A 25,387-nucleotide genomic window follows, 5' to 3' on the forward strand; every position below is an offset into this window, starting at 1 on the left:
ATTCCTGGGGGTGAGTAAGCTCTCTTCAAATAGAGGTCCTTGGGCCCAGGCTGAGACCCTCGGCTGGCCCAGGGAAGGAATTGCCCACAATCCCTCGACCCTGCCATTCCCCAGAGCCTTGTGACTTTTGAAACTGTCTTGCCCTGCCCCTCCCTGAGCCTTTCCCAGCCGCAGGTGCAGCACTGAGGAACACAGGGACCACTGGGAAAGCAGGTTTCAATTAGCCCAGCAAGGCCAGAGGCTAGCCAGCCAGCCTTACCTCTGTGACTTCAGGGTAAGGGCTTCCCTTCCAGGGTGCGTTTCCTGGTCAGCAAACCAGGCTGCTTAGAAATCTATTATTGCCCAAGAAAAAAAAAATTGAGTGGATTTGTTTTTTTGTCTCTCTCTTTTTTTTTTCTTTGAGACAGAGTCTCACTCTGTCACCCAGGCTGGAGTGCAGTGGCGTGATCTTGGCTCACTGCAACCTCCATCTCCCAGGTTCAAGCGATTCTCCTGCCTCAGCCTTCTGAGTAGTTGGGATTATAGGCACCCACCACCATGCCCGGCTAATTTTTTTGTATTTTTAGTAGAGGTGGGGTTTGGTTTCACCATGTTGGCCAGGCTGGTCTCAAACTCCTGAACTCAAGTGATCCACCTGCCTTGACCTCCCAAAGTGCTGCCAAAATATTAGCATTTTGGCCAGGCACAGTGGTTCACATCTACAATCCCAGCACTTTGTGAGGCTGAGGCAGGCAGATCACCTGAGGTCAGGAGTTCGAGACAAGCCTGGTCAACATGGTGAAACCCCGTCTCTACTAAAAATACAAAAATTACCCGGGCATGGGGACACATGCCTGTAGCTCCAGCTACTCAGGAGGCTGAGGAAGGAGAATCACCTGAACCCACGAGGCAGAGGCTGCAATGAGCCAAGATCATGCCACTGCACTCCAGCCTGGGCGATGGAGCAAGACTCCATCTCAAAAAAAAAAAAAAAAAAGTTTGAGGCCGGGCGCGGTGGCTCACGCCTATAATCCCAGCACTTTGGGAGGCCGAGGTGGGTGGATCACGAGGTCAGGAGATTGAGACCATCCTGGCTAACATGGTGAAACCCCATATCTACTAAAAATACAAAAAAAATTTGCCAGGCGTGGTGGTGGGCGCCTGTGGTCCCAGCTACTTGGGAGGCTGAGGCAGGAGAATGTCGTGAACCCGGGAGGCGGGCTTGCAGTGAGCCGAGATCACGCCACTGCACTCCAGCCTGGGCAACAGAGCTGTCTCAAAAAAAAAAAAAAAAAAACCAAAAAAAAAAGGAGTTCGAGACCAGCCTGACCAACATGGAGGAACCCCGTCTCTACTAAAAATACAAAATTAGCTGGGCGTGGTGGCGCATGCCTGTAATCCCAGCTACTCGGGAGGCCAAGGCAGGAGAATCGCTTGAACCCGGGAGGTGGAGGTTGCAGTGAGCCGAGATCGCGCCATTGCACTCCAGCCTGGGGGACAGAGTGAGACTCCGTCTTAAAAGAAAGAAAAAAAAAAAACAAGAGTAAAGACCCATTTTACAAGCGAGAAAGCAAGCAGACATTAACTTGCCCAGAGTTAGTGAGTGACAACCAAGCCAGGACGGAAAGTAGGAAATGCTCTCAAGGCGCCTCTAGCCTAAATAAGGAGAAAGTGCTGCCGGAAAGTAATGTGAGAAGATGGTATACCACCATGTGTGGCCTAGGACAGTCTGAGAAGACTCTCAGGGGGCTGTGGCAGGATTTGGGGTGGGCCTAGGGGCTGCAGTATGAGGCTAGGAGGACAACTGTACCCCTCATCTCCTTGGACGCTCTGCTTCAGAAAGAGAGTTTAGTTTTTGTTTGCTTGCTTTTCTCGAGGTAGTCTCGCTCTGTCCCCAGACTGGAGTGCAGTGGCGCGATCTCAGCTCACTGCATCCTCCACCTCCCAGGTTCAAGCGATTCTCCTGCCTCAGCCTCCTGAGTAGCTGGGATTACAGGCATGCACCACCACACCCGGCTAATTTTTTTTTGTATTTTTAGTAGAGACAGGGTTTCACCATGTTGGCAAGGCTGGTCTTGAACTCCTGACCTCAGATGATCCTCTTGCCTTGACCTCCCAAAGTGCTGGGATTACAGGCATGAACTACTGCACCTAGCCCACTGGCTAGTTTTTGGGATTTTTTGTTTTTTGTTTTTTTGTTTTGTTTTGAGATGGAGTCTCGCTCTGTTGTCCAGACTGGAGTGTAGTGGCATGATCTCAGCTCACTGCAACCTCCACCTCCTGGGTTCAAGCGATTCTCCTGCCTCAGCCTCCTGAGTAGTTGAGACTACAGGCATGCACCGCTATGCCCAGCTAATTTTTGTATTTTTAGTAGAGACAGGGTTTCACCATGTTGGCCAGGCTGGTCTCGAACTCCTGACCTCAAGTGATCCACCCGCCTCAGCCTTCCAAATTTCCAAAGTGCTGGGATTATAGGCGTGAACCACCGTGCACAGCCCACTGGCTAGTTTTTGTGTTTTTTTGTAGAGGATTCTCACTATGTTGCCTATGCTGGTCTGGAACTCCTGGCCTTAAGCAGTCCTCCCACCTTGGCCTCCCAAAGTGTTGGGATTACAGGCATGACCCCAGGAAGAAGGATGCTGGCTCTGGCATGGGGAATGAAGGCCGGTGCCCTGTCACCCCGTTCTGCAAACCTCCAGCGCTGCAAACATTGCTTCCCACCAAAGGGCCTCTTCTGCCACTCTTAACATGAGCCAGGGTGTGTGTTCACTGGCAGCTTTGATAGTTAGAAGCTAGCAGCTGGCCATGGTTCAGTGGATGCTGGGTCTTTCCTGGGAGGGCAGGGGATGGCTTGTAAATGACATGAGCCAGCAGAGTTCCTTGTTCAATGTGAACGTTCTTAAGAGATTCTTGGTCTGAGCACAGTGGCTCATGCCTGTAATCCCAGCCCTTTGGGAGGCTGAGGCAGGTAGATCGCTTGAGCCCAGGAGTTCAAGCAGGTTGGGCAACATGGCAAAGCCCCGTCTCTACAAACAATACAAAAATTAATCTGTTGTGGTGGCACATGGCTGTGGTCCCAGCTACTCGGTGGGCTGCGGTGGGAGGATCACTTGAGCCTGGGAGGTTGAGGCTGCAGTGAGCCATGATTGTACCACTGCACTCCAGCCTGGGTGATAGAGCAACACCCTGTCTCAAAAAAAGAAAAAAAGAAGGTCTTGGCTCAAATGGATGCAGTATGTCTGTGTGGCAGACAGAGGGGTTGTATATGTGTATATTCCGATTTTTTACGTGTGTGTGTGACTGAGTCTCGCTCTGTCACCCCGGTTGGAGTCCAGTGACACAATCTCTGCTCACTGCAACCTCCACCTCCCGGGTTCAAGCGATTCTCATGCCTCAGCCTCCTGAGTTGCTGGGATTACAGGCACGCACCACCACACCCGGCTACTTTTTATATTTTTAGTACAGACAAGGTTTCCCCCATGTTGGTCAGGCTGGTCTTGAACTCCTGACCTCAAGTGATCTGCCTGCCTTGGCCTCCCAAAGCACTGGGATTACAGGCATGAGCCACCGTACCCGGCCTCTTTTAAGTATTTCGTGAGCACTGTGTGCAGTGCTAGGTGTCCTGACAGATTCAGAATAACGTTAGAAGCCTCTGGGTAATGGGTAGAAGCTTAGACTTGCAGTTAGAGGGGCCCAGTGCTTATCTAGGCTCCACATCACTAGCCCTCACCCATCACAGTCCCCTTGTCTGTGAACTGGGGACAGCGGTACATCATTGTGGTCCATGCCACGCATGGCAAGGCATGGTCAGGAGGCAGTGACCGATCAAAAGGTGGAGAGGTGGCCGGGCAAGGTGGCTGACACCTGTAATCCCAGCACTTTGGGAGGCCGAGGCGGGCAGATCACTTGAGGTAAGGAGTTCGAGACCAGCCTGCCCAACATGGTGAAACCCCTTCTCTACTAAAAATACAAAAAAAAAAAAAAAAAAAAAGTAGAGCCAGGCATGGTAGTATGCACCTGTAGTCCCAGCTACTCAGGAGGCTGAGACATGAGAATCGCTTGAACCCGGGAGGCAGAGGTTGCAGTGAGCCGAGATCGCGCCGCTGCACTCCAGCCTGGGCGACAGAGTAAGACACTCTCGCTCAAAAAAAAAGGAAGCAACAGCTCTGGGTTCTTTCCCAGGCTGAGGCCGTGAGCAGGGCGGGTAGACCAATCCATCAGACAGGCTGCCTGCTCCTGGCCAGCTGCTGATTGACCTGAAATCCTCCAGCCAGCAGCAGCCGCCTCTTCCCCCACACCCACGTTTCCAGCTGGTCTCAGGCCTGGGCTTCTCCCCAAGACCACTCTGGGTCTCATCCAAACCTGCCAAGAGACTCCTAGTGGCAGAGTCTTGGTTATGTCAGCACCCCCTCAAGGTGTACACTTCACCACCTCGGAGGCTATATCAGCAGCCGCTTCCGCTGGGGAGGACAGAGCCAGGATTGGCCCCTCGGAGCCCGAAGCCTGCGGCTTTGATAAGAGACAGGCCTCCCACTGCTCAAGACTGGGGCCGCCCTTTCCCATTTCTGTGCAGCCGCCTGCCTCTCTAGCCACCCACTGGCTGACCACTGGTCCTTCTCAGCCAGCGGGACCAATGGGCTCCTTGGGCTGTGGTCACCATGGTGACCGGAGCTGGGCAGGTAGGAACAGGCATGGGCCTCACTCAATTTCCCTCCTCTCAGGCCATCTTGCCTGCCAGCAGAGCCCAGCTCGTCTTTCCCCAGGAATCTTCATCATCACAGCTGCCTTGGCTCACCCATCTTTGAGCCCCTCTCTCCCTTTTTATCGATTTATTTTTTGAGACAGGGTCTGGCTGTGTCACCTAGGCTGGAGTGCAGTGGTGCGGTCATAGCTCACTGCAGCCTTGAAATCTCAGACTCAAGCGATCCTCCCACCTCAACCTCCCAAGTGGCTGGGACCACAGGCATGTGCCACCATGCTTGGCTCATTTATTTTTTATTTTTATTTTTTTAGAGATGGGGTCTCGCTACGTTCTCCAGGCTGGTCTCAAATTCCTGGCCTCAAGCGATCCTCCTACCTTGGCCTCCCAAAGCAGTGGGAGTACGGGCATGAGCCACCGCCTCCAGCCTCAGCACCTCTCTTTTTAGCCCCCTATTTTCTTAGGGACTTGGTACTTTTCATTTAGTGCCCAAGATAGAGCCTGGGTTCTTGAGCCAGACCCGCACTGGAATCCTGGCTCTGTTACTTCCTAAGTGATCTTCGGCAAATCACTGAGCCTTCCAGGTCCAGGGTTTCTGGACCGTTGAGTGTACGGTGAGCAAAATAACCCTGCCTCGGCCAGGCGCGGTGGCTCACGATTGTAATCCCAGCCCTTTGAGAGGCCAAGGCGGGTGGATCACTTGAGGCCAGGAGTTTGAGACCAGCCGGGCCAACATGGTGAAACCCCATCTTTACTAAAAATATAAAAATTAGCCGGGCATGATGTTGGGTGCCTCTAATCCCAGCTACTCGGGAGGCCGAGGCAGGAGAATTGCTTGAACCAGGAGGCAGAGGTTGCAGTGAGCCAAGATCATGCCAATGTACTCCAGCCTGGGTGACAGAGTGAGGCTCCATCTCAAAAAAAAAAATCCTGCCTCCTTGTGGGATGCAGTGTCAGAGTTCACCTCCCTGTGCCGTGCCCCCTCCCCACTCAGGGCCTGGCACTAGGTGGGTTTATGCAGGTGCCTGGTGTTGTATGAAGAGCCCCGAATGCAGCCTGGGCTCGAGTCTGCAGCTGTGTGTGGTCACACATAGTGTGTGCCTGTGTCCCACATTCAGGGCTACTCAGGGTCTCTGTCTGCAGGACAGGGTGGAAGGGATGGCTCCAGCGTTTGGATTCTGGGTTTTCATGAGCTAGGTAAGGAGGCTTAGCAGTTGCTGCTGCTGTGGACTCCCCACCCTGCCAAAGCCAATGCCAGCCCCTGGGACTTCCAGGCTCTCAGGAGGGACATGGGTGACAGTCACTGCCCCCCATGATGCAGCCTCTTCAGGGGCCCTCCTGGAGTTGCCTCTTCTTCCAGAGAAGCCCAATGTGCAGGGCTGGCTGAAGGGGGAAGAGAAACCCCAAAGCCCCACCCAGCCTTTTCCTGGCCTCCCCTCCACCCAGAGCCTCCCTGAGAGGTATCCAGGAACCCAGTTTGAAAGCCAGTTACACATGGGACAATGGGTGTGATGGCAGCATCAGACCCACAAAAGGGTTGTAAGAACTAAAGGACATTACCCACTACTGATGCCATCGTTTTACGGCTGAGCAAACTGAGGCTCGGTGCAGATCAACCACTTGCCCACATGGCTCCTACTCTGCTAAGCTGCCGGGGATGTCCTGTGTCATCTGAGGGCCTTCCCTGCCCAGTCCTCCCAGGAAGCAGCCTTTGATTCAAATCCCATCCTGTTGAAGGCTGGGCGCAGTGGCTCACGCCTGTAATCCTAGCGCTTTGGGAGGCCAAGGCAGGAGGATCCCTTGAGATCAGGAGTTCGAGACCAGCCAGACCAACATGGGAAAATGCCATCTCTACTAAAAATACAAAAATTAGCTGGGTGTGATGGTGCATACCTATAATCTCCGCTACTCAAGAATCACTTGAACCCAGGAGGTGGAGGTTGCAATGAGCCGAGATCGCGCCACTGCACTCCAGCCTGGGTGACAGAGCAAGACTCTCTCAAAAAACAATCCCATCCGGCTGGGTGCGGTGGCTCACGCCTGTAATCCCAGCACTTGGGGAGGCTGATGCGGGCGGATCACGAGGTCAAGAGATTGAGACCATCCTGGCCAACATGGTGAAACCCTGTCTCTACTAAAAATACAAAAATTAGCTGGGCGTGGTGGCATGTGCCTGTAATCCCAGCTACTCGGGAGGCTGATGCAGGAGAATCACTTGAACCAGGAAGTCAGAGGTTGCAGTGAGCCGAGATCGCGCTACTCCAGGCACTCCAGCCGGGCGACAGAGCAAGACTGTCTCAAAAAAAAAAAATCCTGTTGGAAAGTGAGGCAAGGCACAGGGTGGAGCTGGCCCCAGAGCATCACTCTCCACCTCTGGCCTGCCTTGCCCTGCCCTTGGGTCATCTGGAACCTCAGCAGTCACAGGACTGCCTTCTGTGTCTCCCTCCAGAGCTGCCCTCCTCGGAGCACCTGAGTGTGGCAGATGCCACCTGGCTGGCCCTGAACGTGGTGTCCGGCGGTGGCAGCTTCTCCAGCTCCCAGCCCATCGGCGTGACCAAGATCGCCAAGTCAGTCATCGCCCCACTGGCTGACCAGAACATATCCGTGTTCATGCTGTCCACGTATCAGACAGACTTCATCCTGGTGAGCTGACCATCACAGACACGCCTTGCACACTCATGCCCGCCTCTGACACACTCACTCCCATCTCCCACCCCTTGCAGCCTTGCCCTTCCACGCTATTCCAGGGTGGGGGCAGAGTCTCAGGGTGAGAGGTCGGTGCCCCAGACCCACATCCCCCAGGGCCACCAGGCACACACGGCCTCAACTTCTTGCCCCTAGGTGCGCGAGCGGGACCTGCCCTTTGTCACCCACACATTGTCATCAGAGTTCACCATCCTGCGGGTCGTCAATGGCGAGACCGTGGCAGCCGAGAACCTCGGCATCACCAATGGCTTCGTGAAGCCCAAGCTGGGTGAGCTGGGGGCGGGGGTTTGTGCAGGGGAAACCTCACGAAGTTACCAGGCCCAGCCGCAGACCAGCCTTACTCTCAGCACGGGCTTCTGCCCACTGAGCATGAATGGAGTGCCAGGCAGAACGGGATGCAAAGGGCCCAGTGTGGTGGCTCATGCTTGTAATCCCAGCACTTTGGGAGGCCGAGGCAGGCAATTCACCTGAGGTCAGGAGTTTGAGACCAGCCTGACCAACATGGAGAAACCCCGTCTCTACTAAAAATACAAAATTAGCTGGGTGTGGTGGTGCATACTTGTAATTCCAGCTACTGAGGAGGCCGAGGCAGGAGAATCACTTGAACCCAGGAGGCGGAGGTTGTGGTGAGCCGAGATTGTGCCATTGCACTCCAGTCTGGGCAACAAGAACAAAACTCCATCTCAAAAAAAAAAAAATGTGATGGAAAGGTCCTAGGCAGGCCTTGCTGCCGTGTCTAGCAAGGGTGGTGGACGTGCATGCAGACAGCAATGGCCAGAGGCCACTCCTGCTGCAGCCCAGGTGTCAGGGTGGATTTCCCTGGGCAGGGACTGTGGTGCTGAAGCCTGGAACACAGGTAGGAACGGAGCCAGGTGGTGCCGGTTGGGAAGGGCATCCCAGGCAGCCAGCACAGCATGTGCAAAGGCCCAGGGGCCTGAGGGTGAGATGGAGAATCAGGACGGTGGTAATTGGTGGTAGAGGCTGGAGAAGCAGCGGTGAATGAGTCTCTTGGGGCCTGCAGCTGAGCCCTCCCCAGCCCTCTTCCCAGGCCCTGCACCCACCAGAGCTGCTGCTTTCAGTCCCAGCCTCAGTGCCTGACATCTTTGTGCTCTTACAGTCCAGAGGCCAGTCATCCACCCACTGTCCAGCCCGAGCAACAGGTTCTGTGTCACCAGCCTGGACCCTGACACGCTGCCTGCTGTTGCCACACTCCTCATGGATGTCATGTTCTACTCCAATGGGTAGGGCTGCCTTGGGCATGAGGGGTTGCAGGGTGGGCCAGGGAGAGGCATGGCTCCGCCTAGGAGTCTTAGTCTGACGGGGGAGGCTTTGCTAGGAGCTCATCTGAGGGAAGAGACACAGACCTTCCCTGGAGCTAGTCTGAGCAGAGAGACATGGACCCACCCTGGAACTAGTCTGAGGTGGGAGACATGGACCTGCCCCGGAGCTAGTCTGAGGTAGGAGACACAGACCCGCCCCAGAGCTAGTCTGATGGGGGACACATGGACCCTCCCCAGAGCTAGTCTGAGTGGGGAGACACAGACCTGTCCTGGAGCTAGTCTGAGGTAGGAGACACAGACCCACCCCGGAACTAGTTTGGGGTGGGAGACATGGACCCGCCCTGGAACTAGGCTGAGGGGGAGACACAGCTCTACCTAAAAGCCCCAGTCTCAGGGGTGAGACATCCTACCCTGGGAACCCCAAAATTTGGTGACGCCCCAAAGACTCATTGGGAGCTGTAACAAACTCCCCACTCCCCACTGAGCTCCGAGGACAGGCCCAGTCTGTTGAGGAGCTGAGAACTCAGATTTTTTTCATTTGGTGAACAACAGACATTGTGTCACTTCCTCAGCAGATTTTGTAAAGTTTAGGCCAACACGAGGTGGGGCGGGGCAGGGTCCAGCATGCTGACAGTCACCACAGCCTGTGCCCTGAGATGCAGGCAGGGGCCGGTGTAACCTGCGTGGGAGGCCGGCCGGGCCTCCAGTACTGCAAAGTGTAGCACCCGCCTTTGTGAATGCGGTGAAATCATCCCCGTGGCATAGCGAGCAGGATGAGAAGGACACTGGCCCAGGGTCACCCAGGTGGCATCAAAGCCTGGGCAGGGCCCAGCTTCCCTGGGCTGGTGTGAATGGGGCAGGGGCCACAGGGGCCCCATCTTTACCAGCTGCCTCTGGTCCCCAGAGTGAAGGACCCCATGGCCACTGGGGATGACTGCGGCCACATCCGCTTCTTCTCCTTCTCCCTCATCGAGGGCTACATCTCCCTGGTGATGGACGTGCAGACGCAGCAGAGGTGAGCCAGGCCCTGGGGTGGACGTTCAACCCAGGGTGGGCCCCAGGGTCTGGGGGGACTATGTGATGGCACATCACCCACTTTGTCTTTTATTTGTTGTTGTTTTTTTTTGATACGGGGTCTCGCTCTGTCGCCCAGGCTGGGGTGCAGTGGTGCGATCTCGGCTCAAGGCAACCTCCACCTCTCAGGTTCAAGCAATTCTCCTGCCTCAGCTGGGACTACAGGCATGTGCCACCATGCCCAGCTAATTTTTGTATTTTTAGTAAAGACAGGGTTTTGCCATGTTGGTGAGGCTGGTCTCAAGCTCCTGACCTCAGGCAATCCGCCCGCCTCAGGCGTGATTTTTTTTTTTTTTTTTTTAGACGGAGTCTCGCTCTGTCGCCCAGGCTGGAGTGCAGTGGCACTATCTCGGCTCACTGCAAGCTCCACCTCCCGGGTTCATGCCATTCTCCTGCCTCAGCCTCCCAAGTAGCTGGGACTACAGGCGCCGCCACCACGCCTGGCTAATTTTTTGTATTTTTAGTAGAGACCAGGTTTCACCATGTTAGCCAAGATGGTCTGGATCTCCTGACCTTGTGATCTGCCCGCCCCGGCCTCCCAAAGTGCTGGGATTACTGGCATGAGCCACCGCAACCAGCCTGATTTTTTTTATTTTTATTTTTGTTGAGACAGGATCTCTCTCTGTCACCCATGCTGGAGTGCAGTGGTGCAGTCTTGGCTCACTGCCACCTCTGCCTCCCAGGTTCAAGTGATCCACATGTCTCAGCCTCCTGAATAGTTGGGACTACAGGTGCCTGCCACCACACCTGGCTAATTTTTGTATTTTTATTTTATTTTTTTTTAATATTTATTTACTTTTTGAGACAGGGTCTCACTCTGTTGCCCAGGCTGGAGTGCAGTGGCGCGATCTCAGCTCACTGCAACCTCCACCTCCCAGGTTCAAGTGATTCTCCTGCCTCAGCCTCCCGAGTAGCTGGAACTACAGGCGCACACCACCATACCCTGTTTATTTTTGTATTTTTTGTAGAGACAGGGTTTTGCCATGTTGGCCAGGCTGCTCGTGAACTCCTGACCTCAAGTGATTCACCCACTTTGGCCTCCCAAAGTGCTGGGATTACCGGCGTGAGCCACCGCACCTGGCCAATTTTTGTATTTTTCGTAGAGATGGGGCTTCGCCATGCTGACCAGGCTGGTCTCCAACTCCTGACTGCATGTGATCTGCCAGTCTCGGCCTCCCAAAGTGCTGGGATTACGGGTGTGAGCCACCACGCCCTGCCACTTTGTCTCTAATAAACCCTCACCATAGCACTTCATCATAAGTAAGCTGGTCCCCCAGCTCAGAGAGGTGCAGGGGTTGTCCGAGGTCCACTGTGGGGTGGTGGCAAAGTGGGGATTTGAACCGCAGCCCCGGTGCTATTTCTCCCTCAGCTTGTGCTCTGGACCTGGGAAGAGGTGTCTAGACCAGCCTTAGCAAGGGTTTGGGGAGGGGCTTGTTACAAAGCCCAGCCTGACATCACCCTCCCCATCCGCCTCCCCTCAAGACGAGGAGGCCGCCGGGCGAATGGGTCCAGGGTGTCTGGAAGGGATTGTTTTTGGGGGGCCCTGAGGTCTGCCCAACCCTGCCTGGCCAGCCCCATGCCTCGCTCTGGCTGGTGCACCAGCACACCAAGGAGGGAGTGCAATTCACATCAGCCTCGGGGATTCTTCTCTCGCTCCTTTTGAAGGTTTCCTAGTAACTTGCTGTTCACAAGCGCATCCGGAGAGCTCTGGAAGATGGTCCGGATTGGAGGACAGCCCCTGGGGTTTGGTGAGTCCTGGGGGGATTACATGGGGAATTGAGGGAGCTGGCATTGCTGAGCCCATTCACATACGTTGTCCGCAGTGACTCGGCCCCTGCTGGGGGGTACAGATGGGGAGACTGAGGCTTGGGGAGCCTGAAATTTCTGTTGCTCACTGGTGTGTGGCAGCTGTACACAGGCCTCTTGGGGAAGTGCGGAGCAGGCTTCAATCGGAGTGCTTTTATTTTGCCCCCTCTTGAAATTTAATATGTTGCTTATTATTAGAAAATTAAGCAGCTGGGCGCGGTGGCTCGTGCTTGTAATCCCAGCACTTTGGGAGGCCGAGGTGGAAAGATCCATTGAGCCCAGGAGTTCTGTACCAGCCTGGGAAACATAGCGAGGCCCTGTCTCTACCAAAATTTTTAAAATTAGCTGGGCATGGTGGCTGGCGCCTGTAATCCCAGCTACTCAGGAGGCTGAGGCAGGAGGATTACTTGAGCCTAAGAGTTCAAGGCTACAGTGAGCCATGATCATGCCATTGTACTCCAACCTGGGTGACAGAGCAAATCTTTGCCTCTAAAAATAAAAAAAGAGGCTGGGCGAGTTAGCTCGTGCCTGTAATCCCAGGTCTTTGGGAGGCCGATGCAGGTGGATCACCTGAGGTCAGGAGTACCAGCCTGGCCAATATGACGAAACCCCATGTCTACTAACAATACAAAAAATTGGCCAGGCACAGTGGCGTGCGCCTGTAATCCCAGCTACTCAGGAGGCTGAGATGGGAGAATCGCTTGAACCCAGGAAGCAGAGGTTGCGATGAGCCAAGATCGCTCCATTGCACTCCTGCCTGGGCAACAGAGCAAGACTCTGTCTCAAAAAATAATAATAAATTTAATTTAAAAAAGAATAAATTGGGGCTGTGATAAAAATTAAAGAGAAAAAAAATCACTCCTTATTTCCACAGCTCAAAGATAATAACTGCTGGCAATTTTTTAACATGTTTTCTTCACGTAAATACATGTAATTGTCACATATCTCCCAGAGAGTCTGACACCCAACACTTTACTCCTAAATGCCTCGCCTTTTCCATCCTGGGAAGAAGCACCGGGCAAGGTGGCTTACGCCTGTAATCCCAGCACTTTGGGAGGCCGAGGCAGGAGGATCACAAGGTCAGGAGATCGAGATCATCCTGGCTAACACAGCAAAACCCTGTCTCTACTAAAAATACAAAAAATTAGCCGGTCGTGGTGGCAGGCGCCTGTAGTCCCAGCTACTTGGGAGGCTGAGGCAGGAGAATGGCATGAACCTGGGAGGCGGAGCTTGCAGCAAGCCGAGATGGCGCCACTGCACTCCAGCCTGGGCGACAGAGCGAGAGTCCACCTCAAAAAAAGAAAAAAAAAAGAAGAAACACTTTCTCCTATATAACCACAATGACAGGATTCCACAGGAGAAAATTTTCAGTCATTCCCTAAGACTTAGTCTTTCCTCTGTTTCCACAGTTGTCCAGACAACGTCTTTGGTGGATAGCATTTTTTTTTTCTTTTTGTTTTTTGTTTTTTTTTTTTTTGAGACCGGATCTTGCTCTGTTGCCCAGGCTGAAGTGCAATGGCGCAGTCTTCGCCTCCTGGGTTCAGCCTCCCAAGTAGCTGGGACTATAGGCACGTGCCACCACGCCCGGCTAATTCTTGTAGTTTTAGTAGAGATGGGGTTTCACCATGTTGGCCAGGCTGGTCTCGAACTCCTGACCTCAAGTGATCCACCCGCCTCGGCCTCCCAAAGTGCTGGGATTACAGGCGTGAGCCACCACTCCCAGCCAAGGTGCCACACTTTTAAATAGCCAGATCTCGTGAGGACTTACTGTCACGAGAACAGTACCAAGAGGATGAGGCTAAACCATTCATGAGGAATCCACCCTCATAATCCAGTCATCTTGCACCAGGCCCCACCTCCAATACTTGAGATTACAATTGGAGGATTTGGGCAGGAACACAAAGCCAAACTATTTCACTGGCCAGCGACCAGAGAAGGCTCCTGGTTGGGGGACATCTGGGTTAAGCCTTCAAGAGGGATGGCCAGTGGGAGGCCAGGCACGGTGGCTCACGCCTGTAATTCCAGCACTTTGGGATGTGGAGGTGGGTGGATCATTTGAGTACAGCAGTTCGATACCAGCCTGGCCAACATGGTGAAACCCCATCTCTACTAAAAATACAAAAAAATTAGCTGGGCATGGTGGTACACGCCTATAATCCCAGCTATTTGGGAGGCTGAGGCACGAGGATTGCTTGAACTCAGGAGGTGGAGGTTGTAGTGAAGTGAGCTCACGCCAGTGCACTCCAGCCTGGGCGATGGAGCGAGACTCCATCTCAAAAAAAATAAAAGGGATAGCAGATGGGAATTCTCTAGGAGGATGGTGGGTGCAGGGTAGGCATTGCCCACAGAGGGTAGAGGCTGAAGAGCCACACAGGCAAGGGTAGCCAGGTTACACAGAGGCTAAGGACGGTCTCTCCTGTTCTAGATGAGTGTGGCATCGTGGCCCAGATCTCAGAGCCCTTGGCTGCTGCAGACATCCCAGCCTACTACATCAGTACTTTCAAGTTTGATCATGCACTTGTGAGTGTCCAGCGCCAGACCCCTCCAGGGCAGGGCCGGGGTGGGGAAGCAGGTTCCTGGGCTCACGGGCAGGCATCTGCCTCCTCTACCCCTGCACAGGTCCCCGAAGAGAACATCAATGGTGTCATCAGTGCCCTGAAGGTCAGCCAAGCAGAGAAGCACTAGAAGGGTCTCTTCTGCTCCTCCCTGCCGCCGCCCGGGCCCAGCCCTAACCCTGAAGATTGATCTTGCAGTATTTCTCTACAGACTGGAAAATCAGCCTGGGGACCCTGAGGAAGGGGCCTCTGTGGGAGACTCCCTCGATTGCCAATCCCTCCAGGGCAGGGGCCCACGCCAAGGCCTCTCCATGCCCTCCTGCCTTCCCGGAGCCCCCCGACCCTCCAGAGAACGACCTTTCTCTTCCCTACCTCCCCCACCCCGGAAAATGCTTTCGGAGGCCCAGGGAGCTTGTGAGCTGATCCGCCTTCTCATCCGGCCTCACCCACGGCCAGGGGCAGATGCCGAGGGAAGCCGGTCCCTCCTGCGAGACACCGGTGTGCCAGCTGTCATGTCACCTTGCAGGGCTGGGGCTGGCGGGGTGGGGCCGAGTTTGGGGTGCCCTGGAGGGTTTGGGGGTGAGTACTGTGGTCACTGGTCTCTGCTTCCATCAGCTCAGGGCTGGTTCCCTCGGAGTGGAGGCCAGCGTGGCCCCCTCAGGTCATCGGGGCTGGTGAGGCTCAGACAGGAACCCAGGTGGGATCCCCGAGCTGGGAAGGACCCAGACTCCCCCTGTACCTCGCCTGCCAACCACAGGGCCTGGGCCCGACTCCCAGCAAGACTGCCAAGAGGGCCCTGTCCAGACCCTCCCCCACAAGCACTCAGTCCTTGGGGGAGGAGGGAGGGTCCCAGGAGACCCACCAGCCTGGAGCACCAGCTCCTGTCCCCTCGGCTCTCCCTGGACCCGACTTGGGCAGGTAGAGCCTCAGCTTCCCCCAGTAGGGACATCCCTGGCTTTCCAGGCCTGAGGTTTCTTAGGTGGTGTCCCACCTCCCCAACAGACAACTAGACCAGCATAGGACTCCCCGCCGTCCTCCTCCCTCCTCTGCCCCCAAGTCACCTGCCTGCCCACCCGCCCCTTGGCTGGGGGCTGTGGCATTCATGAGTACTTGACCCAGGAGGCAGCTTAACTGAGCCTTAATAGAGAAAACCATACTTTGTTTTAGTTTTTTATTTAATGTATTTGCACCCAGGGTGCTCTTGGCGGTAGTTTCTGTTTGGCAGGGATAGGACCTGTTTGAGTTCTGTCAAGGGAGCCTGGAGGCTCTGTGTCACTAAGCTGGTGCTCTGTGGCTCCAGGGACAGGCAGTGGGAATCGGGAGATGTCACAGGAGCCTGGGCCCTCTCTTCTGAAGGGAAGCTAGGAGCAGAGATCTGTTACAAGACGCTGGAGCCGCTGGCACCCCACATGGGAACTCCCACCAACCAGCTGTAGTTCTATCTGAGCACCGGAGGGGGTGAGGGAACCCGAGGGCCATGGGGAGGTGGACAGCCAGGTGGCAGGCCAGCTGAGTGGTCATGTCCAGGAGGCATGGGGTTAGCCGTGGTGTCCCTTCCAGTGGGGTGGTTTTCTGAATGAGCAGGACCAAGGGCCCCTGTGGTTTTGGCTCTGGCGGGGGTTTTTTTTTTTTTTTTTGAGATGGGAGTCTGGCTCTGTTGCCTAGGCTGGAATGCAGTGGCACGATCTTGGCTCACTACACCCTCCTCCTCCCAGGTTCAAGTGATTCTCCTGCCTCGGCCTCCCAAGTAGCTGGGATTACAGGCACGCACCACCACGTCTGGCTAGTTATTGTATTTTTTAATAGAGACGGGATTTCGTAACATTGCTCAGGCTGGTCTTGAACTCCTGAGTTAAGTGATCCGCCTGCCTCGGCCTCCCAAAATGCCGGGATTACAGGCGTGAGCCACCACACCCAGCCGAGTTGTGCTGTTTCTGTGGTCAGAGGAGAAGGGATATTTTCTAGTCCTGACAAAGTGTTCCCTGCTTCTCTGAGTGGGACCCTCTGAGCCCTGGAAGCCCACCAGAAGGAGAAGCTGTTCTTTAAAATCCTTGTGGGTGTTGAAGGCCCACCACATTAATTAGAAACCAACTTTTTTTTTTTTAAGTTAATTTGTTTTGCACAAAACTCCAGAACAAAACTCGTACATTGCTGGTCCCAAAAGGGAGGTGGCCAAGTGGGGCAGGGCTGTGGTGGAAGCCCTGAGTCCCCTTTCTGACCTTGCAAGGCCTTGATTTTCCTTTCTGTCATTTCCCCCTGACGGTGTCACTTCTCTGCCTTTCCTTCCCGCCGTGCAAGTGTGTCGGCCCCGTGACCCCAGAGTCGTGTGTCCCCTAGACTTCCTAGGACGTATCTATTGTACACACCTATAAATACCTGTGTTTTATGTTGATAGAGATATATACTGTAAATAGCATATATACTTGAGCAATATATATGTTAATATATACTGTGTGCGCAGTCCGTGGACACAGCCCCCCGCTGTGTGTGCACACGTGTATGGGCGTGATGGCCTCCACCCCGCACCGTCTGCCATACACGCGGGCACATTTGAGCCACCATATATTTTTAATTCAAGTATATAGGCAATACGATTATTACAGAAGCCGATGGGTTCCCTCAGACCTGACTTGAGAGAACAAAGCCAGCAGCTCAAAGAGCCTGTGACATGGGACGTGGGAAGGGTGCTGAGAGCCCGCTGTGGCGTGGGTCATGCCTTCTGCACCCCACTTTCCCCAGGCAAGATCCCTGGGCGCCCTTATTTGGGGGGATGTTGATCCCGAGGGAGGAGTATTTGGAATTTCTTGCTTTTAACCAGAATGCCCCCTCTCCCCTGCCCTCGCCAGCAGCCTCACCCTGAAGACCTGGGCCTGCTGAATGGGCCACACGCTGCCTGTGTCCTGCCTCCGTGGGTGGCACTTTTTACGCAGGCAGCTTCTCTGTTTTTTTTGTTTTTTGTAACCTGCAAGCTTAGAAATCTCAGGTTGTGCTCCTGGGGCTGCTCCTGGGGACTGGCCTCGTGTCATGGAGAAAAGCATGTGTGTCGGGGCGCGCTGGGGCCAGGGTATGGCTCTCCGCCCTGGCTGGCTCTGCAGGGGTGGTCCCTGTTCAAGCCCGCTCCGTGGGAGCTGCCCCCTGGGGACCCTGCTCCTCGGTCACAGGGGGCCCCTTTAGTTTTCCCATCCCCATCCTGCTCGTGTAAAGCTTGGTTTATCTTCTCGGCGTTCTGTGTGTAGCGTAGTCTTGGTTTGGTCTCCACAGCTCTTCGGGGTGGGGTGTGAGTGTGGTTTTTCCCAGGCAGGGGCCGTCTGCCCTTGTCCCCCAGCTATCTCCTGGTCTGCTGGGTGGGAGGGTCTCTCCAGGCCCCAGACCCCACTTGGAGGGGCATGTGTTTCTCAGAGGGGCTCCATCCGCAGTTGCATGGAACTCCTTACCTGTTTGCCGTCCATCCCCCGGAGGTAATCAGAGGAGTGGGCCTGTTGTCTTGGCGCTGGCGGATGGGGCAGGTGCCTGGCGGGGGAGGAAGAGGGCTCTCTATGATGTGGAATTTTTTTTTTTTTTTTTTTGAGACGGAGTCTTGCTCTGTCGCCCAGGCTGGAGTGCTGTGGCATGATCTCAGCTCACTGCAGCAACCTCCACTTCCTGGGTTCAAGCGAGTCTCCTACATTGGCCTCCCAAGTAGGTGAGATTACAGGCACTCACCACCACACGCGGCTAATTTTTGTATTTTTGGTAGAGACGGGGTTTCACCATGTTGGCCACGCTGGTCTTGAACTCCTGACCTCAAGTGATCCACCCACCTTGGCCTCCCGAAGTGCTGGGATTACAGGCATGAGCCACCGTGCCCGGCCTCATGGAATTTCTAGGGGTGAGCAGGTGACCCTGGGGCTGCCACTTGAGCTCCTGGAGTGTGTGTCTTGGCCCCTGTGTGGTTCTCCATTAAGAAAAGCTCAGATAGTCTCAACCCCACCCTCTCCCCTTGCTGCACTCAGAGTACCAGTGGGAGCTGAAGGATGGGGAGGAACAGAGCAGTGACCACCCCTCCCTGCCACTGATAAGTTCTGCCTCGTCGTGGGGCTCCCCTGGTTCCCAAGACACCCCTTCCTCCCTCAGCCCGTCGTCCTAACCCAGCAAAGATCTGGGCATTGCTGACTCTGCACCTCCTTCCTCCATGGGCATCTCCAGGACCGCCCTCCTTCAAGGGGCACTGCCCACACCACTGTCCTCAGCCCGAGGCATGCATCTGAGCTGGAGAGGCTTGCAGGCCTGACCCTGGTAGCTTCCCCTCCCCAAGATTCAGAGGCGGGGACCCAAAGCCTCACTCCAAACCACTGGCATTCTCACCTCCTCTCACCTCCAGGCACCAGGCTGCTGGTGGGAAAGGAAGGAGCTGGGGGATCAGAGGCTTCCAGTGTGGCCTCCGGAAGCAGCAGCGTAGCCAGGGTGACATTTGTTCAGCAGGAGGAGGCTTGGTCTGGAGGGGCTTGCCCCTCTGAGGTGACAGAGGATGCCCTGGAGGTCAGGAGAGAAGACTGGGAAGACAGGAAGGGCCAGGCCCCTGTTAAAGCCCAGGGCACTATTTGGTGATCTTCAAAGGTGAACACAGGCCACCTCCCACTGGCCCCCTCCTCCTGGCCACATTTTCCAGGGATACCCTGGGGAGTCCTAAGGCCACCCTGGGCCCCTTTCTGAGCCTAGAGATCTGGATGTGGTGACAACCAGGGCTTTTCCCAGCCCCAGCTAAGAGAGGGGGCTTTAGGGCAAGAGCACCTCAGCCCTGCAATGGGGGGATCTTTTTTTTTTTTTTTTTTTGAGACAGGCTGGAGTGCAGTGGTGCGATCTCGGTTCGCTGCAACCTCTGCTTCCCAGGTTCAAGTGATTCTCCTGCCTCAGCCTCCCAAGTAGCTGGGATTACAGGCACCCACCACCACGCTCGGCTAATTTTTGTATTTTTAGTAGAGACAGGGTTTCACTATGTTGGCCAGGCTGTTCTTGAACTCCTGACCTCAGGTGATCCGCCCACCTTGGCCTCCCAAAGTGCTGGGATTACAGGCATGAGATACCCCGCCTGGCCAATGGGATTTTTGACGCCACTTCCTGAGTGAAGCGCTTTGCATGGGGATGGGAAGAAGCACCCCCAACCTTCTAGTCCGCTCCGAGCAGGGCCTGGAGCATTGGAGACATTGGTTAGTGTAATAGGCAGAGCCTGAGTGAGGCCGGGGGGCTTCTCCAACAGAGAAAAGACATTGGCTTTGGGTACCATGCTGAGGGAGGGGGTTAGGCCTGGTGGGGGCCCATTCAAAGGAGGCCGGGCTCGGTGGCTTAGGCCTGTCATCCCAGCACTTTGGGAGACCAAGGTGGGAGGATAGCTTGAGGCCAAGATAGCAAGACCAACCTGGTCAACATAGCAAGACCCTGCCTCTACAAGAAAATAACGAAAGAGGCCCCAGGGAAGGAAGCCAGCCAGGAGCAGCCTGGAGCAGAGGCAGGAGCCTGAGGCCTGAGCCATGGCATCCAGGGACAGCCTGGTGGCCGAGAGAGCTTGTGGCTGTCACTATAAGGGAAGAGGAGCTATGGAAATTGGAAGTGCAGGGTGGCCTGTGTGCTAGGAGTGGGGGTGCAGGCCTAGGTGTGTTTATGCACACGTTTGTGCATGTACCTGTGAGCGTGGATGTGTTCCTATGCATTAGAGTGTGTGCGTGCACGTGTGCAGAGCCCACACCTGAGATATGGGACTGGCTCTTGGAGTATTTTGAGTTCTCAGTAGCAGTCTTGTTGTCAGGCCTTGAGTGCAGAAATGATTAGGTGAGTGAGGGCAGGACTCGAATGCAGACCCTGGCTCCAGGGGAGAGGGTGGGGCGTCTCTGGTAGGACGGCCTCACCCCACTTGTCAGAACTACTCTGGAGGGGGGCAAAGGTGTCAGGAACAGTTTGAGCAGTTCTGGCTCAGGGTCATTCATGAGGTTGCTGTTGTCTGAAATCTTAGCTAAGGATTGGAGGATGCACTTCTAAGTGAGGCCTGGCTGTAGGCAGGAGGCCTCAGTCCTTCCCCAGGTGGGCCAACCCACAGGGCTGCTTGAGTGTCTTCACAATATGGCGCTCGGCTTCCCCCCAGAGCAAGAGATTCAAGGGCCCAGGGTAAAAGCCAACGTGTTATTTTTATCCCTAGCCTCAGAATTCACACGCCGTTGCCTCCACCATGCTCTGGTTTGATACAGCCCAGCTCTGATTGGAAGGGGCTGGGGCTGCCCGTGCTGACTCTTCAAAGGCATCCCATCCTGCAGATGGTGTTCACAGGGAGAGTTTGTGGGGGCCGGCACTCCCTCATCTACTGGGGCTCATTCTGGAAGAAGGTCCAGAAGAATTGGAGACCCCTGCCCCTCACCCAAACTTTGGAGGTGGCAGGGTGAACAGCAGGCCAAGTTCAGGTCCCAAGACAGGCCAAGGCCAGTGCGGTTTCCCTTCCACTGCCTCAGTTTACCTGTATTCAGAAGACAGTCTAGGAAGAGTTGAGCAGAGTTCCCTCTAAAAGAGTAGGGAGCTGATAACAGTCCCAAGCCCTCCTCTTTCTCTATGCCAAAATCATTTCCGTTATCCTGAGATGGGGGTGAGTGGATGGATGGTGTACTGAGGGGCCTCTGCCCTGCCCAGAGCCCCCACCATCGTAGTGGGGGCAGGGGACTTCCTGCCCACAACCCCCTCCAACCCTCACCTGGCGTGCCCGGGTCACCAGCAGCAGCAGCGGCGTTCCATCGCTCCCAAGATCTGGGTGAAGGGGAGAACCTGCCATCTTATCCCTACCCCCCCGGGGCCCTCAAGCTTATTTTCTTGTTGAAGAAACACAAAACCCTCGAGATTCATGTACTGTATGTTGGAGAAAAAAAATTACCTAATGTTCCCCCAAAAAAGACAGTATATTTTGTACTTTGTAAAGTGTTAATTAAAATGAAAAAAAAAAACGATGCTGGCTGGTGGCCGTCTGGTTTTTTGCTGATCTAGCCAGAACCTGGTCTCATCTCTTTCTCCTCCACACTGTGGTCGGGGGAACACAGGCCAGGGGCTAGAGGCGGGTAGAAAAACACCCAGAATTTGAGGAAGGGCCCCCAGAGCCGGAGGGGTTGTATTAGTTACCTGGTGCTGTATAACAAGTTGCCCCCAAACTTAGCGGCTTAACATGATCATTATTTATAGGTCACATTTTCTGTGGGTCAGGAATTCAGGAAGTTTGGCTGAGTGATTCTGGCTCAGAGTCACTCATGAGGTTGCCGTTGTCTGAAATCAGCTAAGGACTGAAGGATGCACTTCTAAGTGAGGCCTGGCTGTAGGCAGGAGGCCTCAGTCCTTCCCCATGTGGGCCAACCCACGGGGCTGCTTGAGTGTCCTCACAATATGGCGCCCAGCTTCCCCCAGAGCAAGAGATTCAAGGGTCCAGGTTAGAAACCAAAGTGTTATTTTTATTCCTAGCCACATAATTCACACGCCGTTGCCTCTACCATGCTCTGGTGTGATACGGCCCAACTCTGATTTGACATGGGAGGGAACTACATAAGTGGGTGGAAACCAGGAGGTAAAGATGACTGGGGGCCATCTTGGAGGCCAGCTACTATGCCCAGCATCCCCACCCAGACCTTGGGCAGAGCCAGGCCTGGGAGTGGGGACGGTGGGGGGAAGGAGTTGGACGGGGCCTTTCTGATGGCAAGGGAAGGGTCAGGGGCTGGTTGCCTGGCCGAAGGGTCTCTGACCCAAACCTAGAGCCTTGCCATGGACATCACAGCTCCAGGTAAGTTCCAGAAGCCCAGAAGCTGATACCTCCAGATTAGATATCCTGCAGGCAGGAAAGAGGAGCACCGTGCTTCTGGCTACTGCCCTCTTGGTAGGCGGGACACTGGGGCTGTGCCAGCAAGAAAAGATGGGCTTGAGACCGGCAGGTTCTAGACTGACACCCTTCCCCTTCTCCTCTCTGAGATTTTCCATGGGGGGGTAGCTGTGAGCAGGGCAGAGCTGAAGACCCATCCCTGCCCTAGGCCCCATCAGCCCCCATCCCAACCCTGCCTCACCCTTGGCCCACAGGAAGAGAACCTGGAGACCGGGAGTGAAAATGGAAGCTGAATATTCTTCCATCACCCTGAGCCCAAGAGAGTTCTAGCTGCTGAGAAGCTTTTATGCCTGGGGTCTGAAGACAAGTCCTGTCGCTCGGGCCTTCAGATAATACCACAGGAGGGCTGGGTGCGGTGGCTCACACCTGTAATCCCAGCACTTTTGGAGGTGGAGGCGGGAGGATTACCTGAGGTCAGGAGTTCAAGACCACCCTGGTCAACATAGTGTAACCCTATCTCTACTAAAAATATAAAAATTAGTTGGGCGTGGTGGCGGGTGCCTGTAATCCCAGCTACTTGGGAGGCTGAGGCAGGAGAATGGCTTGAATCCGGGAGGTGGAGGTTGCAGTGAGCCGAGATTGTGCCACTGCACTCCAGGCTGGGCAACAGAGTGAGACTTTGTCTCAAAAAAAAAAAAAAAAAAAAAAAGATAATTCCACTGGAGCCGGAACATCCATGGGCGATCCTGACTGCCCCAAAACTCTCAAAATCATCCCCTTATGCTGGTGCTGGGGACCCACTATAGCCCCTGCACCAGGGGTCCTTCCCGGAGCATTACAAGGGATGCAGTGCTAGGATGGACCACAAAGGGGTGCTGTGCTTGGACCAGGAAATGACCAGCTGCCGGCCAATAGTAGAGGGAAGACAGAGAAGCAGGGAGGGACGGGAGAGTTAGACTTAGACAAGAAACAGCAGGTAGAATGCAAAGGCAAAGAAGGACCCGTAGTGGTAATTAAGAAGTGGGGTGGGCCAGGTGCAGTGACTCAACGCCTGTCATCCCAGCACTTTGGGAGGCCGAGGCAGGCAGGTCACAAGGTCAGGGGTTCGAGACCAGCCTGGCCAAAATGGTGAATCCCCGTCTCTACTAAAAATATAAAAATTAGCCAGGCATGGTGGCAGCCACCTGTAATCCCAGCTACTCGGGAGGCTAAGGCAGAAGAATCGCTTGAACCTGGGAGACAGAGGTTGCAGTGAGCCGAGACCACGCCATTGCACTCCAGCCTGGGCAACAGGGCGAGTCTCTATCAAAAAAAAAAAAAAAAATTAGCCGGGTGTGGTGGTGCATACCTGTAATCCCAACTACTCAGAGGCTGAGGCCAGAGGATCACTTGAGCCCAGGAGTTGGAGGCTCCAGTGAGCTATGATGACACCACTGCACTCCAGCCTGAGCAACAGAACAAGACCCTGTCTCTAAAAAGCAATAAATTAAAAAAAATTAAATTAAAAAATAAAGCAAAGGCCACAAAAGGAAAGGGCGTCATCTTTGGTCACTTTGCCGACCCTGGTTTTGTCATGTGAATTTCAGCTGACTCGGGCAGGGGAGGGAGTGTCAGATCAGCTCACATGGTGAAGAAAGCGGAAAGAAAATATGCACCGAAAGGGAATGTGTGCAATGAAATCATGGTGACAGCTGCACAACACAGTTTGCGAAAAACCACTGAGCTGTGTGCTGTAAATGGTTTTATGTTATGTGACTTATATCTTGATGTTTTAAAGAAGGAATGCGGTAGAAAAAGCAACAGGTCTGGATGCACATTGGAGGACAGCCGAGAAAGAAAGGTGATTGCAGCTGGGCGTGGTGGCTTACACCTGTGGTCCTAGCACTTTAGGAGTCCAAGGTGGGCGGATTGTCTGAGCTCAGAGGTTCAAGACCAGTCTGGGCAACACAGTGAAATCCCGTCTCTACGAAAATACAAAAAATTAGCCAAGCATGGCGGTGTGTGCCTGTAATTTCAGCTACTTGGGAGGCTGAGGCAGGAGAATCGCTTGAACCAGGGAGGCGGAGGTTGCAGTGAGCTGAGATCGCGCCACTGCACTCCAGCCTGGGCGACAGAGCGAGACTCCATCTCCAAAAACAAAACAAAACAAAAAAGGTGATTGCTCTGACGGTTCTTGGCAACTGAATGTGGAGGTCTTCGCCTTGTAAAGGTTGATAGCAGAACATCACATTTGGGATGTTTTTCCAACAGATGTCTACCCGAGCTGAGTGGGAAACTCAGGCAGCATCAGCTAGACCCAGGGCCTGGTTTGTTTGTTTTTTTCTTTAAATTTATTTGCTCACTGCAGCCTCGAACTCCTGGTCTCAAGCACTCCTCCAATCTCAGCCTCCAGAGTGGCTGTTAACTATAGGCGTGCACCACCATGTTTGGCTAATTTTTTTATTTTTTGTAGAGATAGGGGTCTTGCTATATTGCCCAGGCTGCCCTTGAACTCCTGAGCTCAAGTGATCCTCCCACCCCAGCCTCCCAAAGTGTTGGGATCACAGGCATCAGCCACTATGGGTGGGGCCCATTTCTACGTACTTGGTCATTATAAGCTCTGATGACTACTGGGCACCAAGAGGGTTCCCTAATTTATTTATTTACATTTATGTATTTATTTAGAGATGGAGTCTCGCTCTGTCACCCAGGCTGGAGTGCAGTGGAGCAATCCAAGCTCACTGCAGCCCCCAACTCCCAGTTTCAAGTGATTCTCGTGCCTCAGCCTCCCCAGTAGCTAGGACTATAGGCACACACTGCCACACCCAGCTAATTTTTATATTTTTAGTAGAGATGGGGTTTTGCCATATTGGCCAGGCTGGTCTCGAACTCATGACCTCAAGTGATCCGCCCGCCTCGGCCTCCCAAAGTACTGGGATTACAGGCATGAGCCACCGCGCCCGGCCTGGGTCCCTACTTTAGCAGCAGAAACACAAGAAAAGCAGGCAGAAAGCCTGCCATGAGCCTGCAAGGAACAGCCCAAGTTGTATGCAGGGAAATAAATATTCAGTATCTTGGAATTTACAGAGTGTGTTGTAGATTAAATGACGCAAATGTCAAAACTCAAAAAAATTAAATGAATGAGCAGCAACTCCACTCCTAGGTATACATCCATGAAAATTGAAAACTTATGTTCACACAAAAACATTCCAGAAACAAAACGCTGGGCCAATGTGAAACTTATACATGAATGTTTTGACATTATTTATAATGGTCAAAAAGTGAAACCAACCCAAATGTCCAGCAACTGATGAATAAATATGCAAAATGTTATATTATATATTAAAAAAAAAAAGCCTGGGCGAGGTGGCTCATGCCTGTAATCCCAACACTTTGGAAGGCTGAGGCAAGAGAATCATTTGAGCCCAGGAGTTCAATACCACCCTGGGCAACACAGTGAGGTCCCCCCATCTCTACAAAAAATTTTAAAAAT

At 54.0% G+C, this 25,387-nt stretch overlaps 2 protein-coding genes across 2 annotated transcripts in view; one reads left to right on the top strand and one right to left on the bottom strand.

The window, feature by feature from the left end:
- Positions 1-21,058, top strand: part of CASTOR2 (cytosolic arginine sensor for mTORC1 subunit 2) — a 66,824-nt gene extending 45,766 nt beyond the window's left edge. Inside the window, exons 3-9 of the mRNA NM_001145064.3 lie at positions 7,128-7,321; positions 7,520-7,652; positions 8,502-8,625; positions 9,569-9,679; positions 11,404-11,486; positions 13,970-14,064; positions 14,164-21,058. Coding sequence (NP_001138536.1) covers positions 7,128-7,321; positions 7,520-7,652; positions 8,502-8,625; positions 9,569-9,679; positions 11,404-11,486; positions 13,970-14,064; positions 14,164-14,229 — 806 coding nt within the window. The 3' untranslated portion in view covers positions 14,230-21,058. The remainder of the gene's footprint in view (positions 1-7,127; positions 7,322-7,519; positions 7,653-8,501; positions 8,626-9,568; positions 9,680-11,403; positions 11,487-13,969; positions 14,065-14,163) is intronic.
- RCC1L (RCC1 like) overlaps positions 16,649-25,387 on the bottom strand; it is a 46,684-nt gene continuing 37,945 nt past the window's right edge. Inside the window, exon 11 of the mRNA NM_148842.3 lies at positions 16,649-17,609. Within this exon, the coding sequence (NP_683682.1) occupies positions 17,562-17,609 (48 nt within the window). The 3' untranslated portion in view covers positions 16,649-17,561. The remainder of the gene's footprint in view (positions 17,610-25,387) is intronic.

Source organism: Homo sapiens, chromosome 7 (assembly GCF_000001405.40).
Source record: "Homo sapiens chromosome 7, GRCh38.p14 Primary Assembly".
In the NCBI taxonomy this organism is placed as follows: domain Eukaryota; kingdom Metazoa; phylum Chordata; class Mammalia; order Primates; family Hominidae; genus Homo; species Homo sapiens.